General features: G+C 42.3%; 1 annotated feature.

The window, feature by feature from the left end:
- Window positions 1,143-1,282: an enhancer, noted in NCBI's record as "active region_13489". NCBI's record gives its function as "activates an Ori minimal core promoter by ATAC-STARR-seq in GM12878 lymphoblastoid cells {active_cell/tissue: GM12878}" and the evidence as "EXISTENCE:reporter gene assay evidence [ECO:0000049][PMID:35858748]".

The following is a 2,086-nucleotide window of genomic DNA, read 5'->3' on the forward strand; positions in this document are numbered from 1 at the left end:
ACATACAGGATTACACAGTCAAACGCCCACTGCAGTTTAAGATACAGAAGTAAGTGACCTTTCTTACATGTTCAAACCTTAGTGATTTTCAGTGACTCCCTGAACAGAGTAGCAGGGATCCAGGTTTCTCCCTCGTGGAGCTGTACCATTGTCACCGTGGTTGTCTGGACTCTGCTTCCTTCCTCCCATCTGCGAATGTGCTCATCCAATTAGCCCTGCAACACGGCTCTGAGGGTCCCTCCAGCTCCCTCAAAATCACTCTCTATGCACTTCTCCCTACCTGGATGCTTTATTACAACATCGACAGAGACCCTTAATTCTCCACTAATGCCCCCGAATCTCACCTGTGTGTTTTGTTTTTAATTATTTAAGGCTCTTTTTCTATTTTTCGGCTTTATCGAGGTATAATTGGCAAATAAAATTTTTATTTAAGGTGTACAACTTGAGGAGATGGAATGCATTGTGAAACAATCACCAAGCTAATCAGTAGATCCATGACCTCACATAGTTATCCGTGTGTGTGTGTCACCTTCCTGACAAATTTCAAGAATTCTAGACAGTAGTGTTAACTTTAGTCACAATGCTGTACATTAGATCTGCAGGACTTACTTATCCTACATTACTAAAGTTTGTATCCTTCAAACAATATCTCCCCGTTTCATTTTCTCCCACCCCACCCCAGGTCCCGGTAACCACTCTTTTACCCTCTATTTCTATGAGTTTGACTATTTTAGATTCCACATGCAAATGAGACCATGCAGTATTTGGCTTTCTGCATCTGGCTTAATTCACTTAGCACAATGCCTTCCAACTTCAACCGCATTGTTGCAAATGGCAAAAATTTCTTATTTTTAAGACTAAATAATATTCCATTGTGTGTGTGTGTGTGTATATATATATATATATATAAATTCTATTGAAAATAGACACTTGCAATTTCATGTCTGGTTTTGAGGTCTTTGACAGAGAAAACATACTTTCCTCTATTTACAGAATCTTCATCCATACTGAGTATTTTTTTCTGGATCAGTGGTAATACATATTTCTCCTGGTCCATTTTTGGAGTAAAACTACCAGTTATTTGAGATGCCTTTATGCTTTCCAAAATGAATTTCACAAAAGTTGTAGAGACTATTTCTGTCCGACTGCCTGATCTGGTCACTGATAATCTTTAAGAATACCAACATGATGAGTCTTGTGGAAGAAAACCTCTGACTCTGGAGAGGAGCTGAAATAGCAGAAGCTTCTTTCCTGGCTTCTCCTGTTTGCTAATCAGTAGAAATGGAGGCAGATCCTCTCTCTGGCTGCATTGCAGACTGTGTGGCAGATGGGACGTGTGTTGCTCACATCTGCTACAAGAGTGCACCTCAGCAACAGGCGTGCCTTGGCGGGGAGCCTCCAGCCGCAGCCACCCCCAGGTCTGCCCCAGCCTCCCAGGAGAGGATGGTGTTACCCTGGGCAGTTCCAGCCAATGACCGAGCACAGTGGAACATGAGAACCTGGTTATTTGTGCGTAACAGGGGAATTCTGTATGAATGAAATTGCAAGTTTCTATTTTCAGTAGAGCTACTTCCTACCTGCACAGCTCAAGGAGAGGCAGGAGGAACAATGAATTATGAATAGACAACGGTTTGTAATTCTCATAAACAATGCTGGGCAGCCTGTTACATTAGTTTCTATTGCTGCTATAGAAAATTAACACAAATTTAACAATTTAAAATAAACTTATTTTTCCATAGTTCTACAGGGCAGAAGCTCGGGTACGAAATGGCTCAGCTAGTTCTTTGTTTAGAGTTCCAAAAGGTGAAGATGAAGGTGTTAAGAGGGTGATGTTCCTTTCTGGAGGTGTTGAGGGTGAATCTTTTTCAGTCTCATTCCATTTGTTGGCAGAATATGCTTCCACTGCAAATTCTGGTTGCATGATTGAGGTTCTTAATTCTTTGCTGACTGTTGGCTGGCCACCATTCTCAGTTTGGAGACACTGCCCACATTCCTTGCTCATGACCTTCTAGCAAGCCAGGAGACGCTGCCCACACTCCTCACTCAGGGCCTTCTATCAAGCCAAGAGACGCTGCCCACACTCCTC

The sequence above is a fragment of the Homo sapiens genome, chromosome 18, assembly GCF_000001405.40.
Source record: "Homo sapiens chromosome 18, GRCh38.p14 Primary Assembly".
Taxonomy (NCBI): domain Eukaryota; kingdom Metazoa; phylum Chordata; class Mammalia; order Primates; family Hominidae; genus Homo; species Homo sapiens.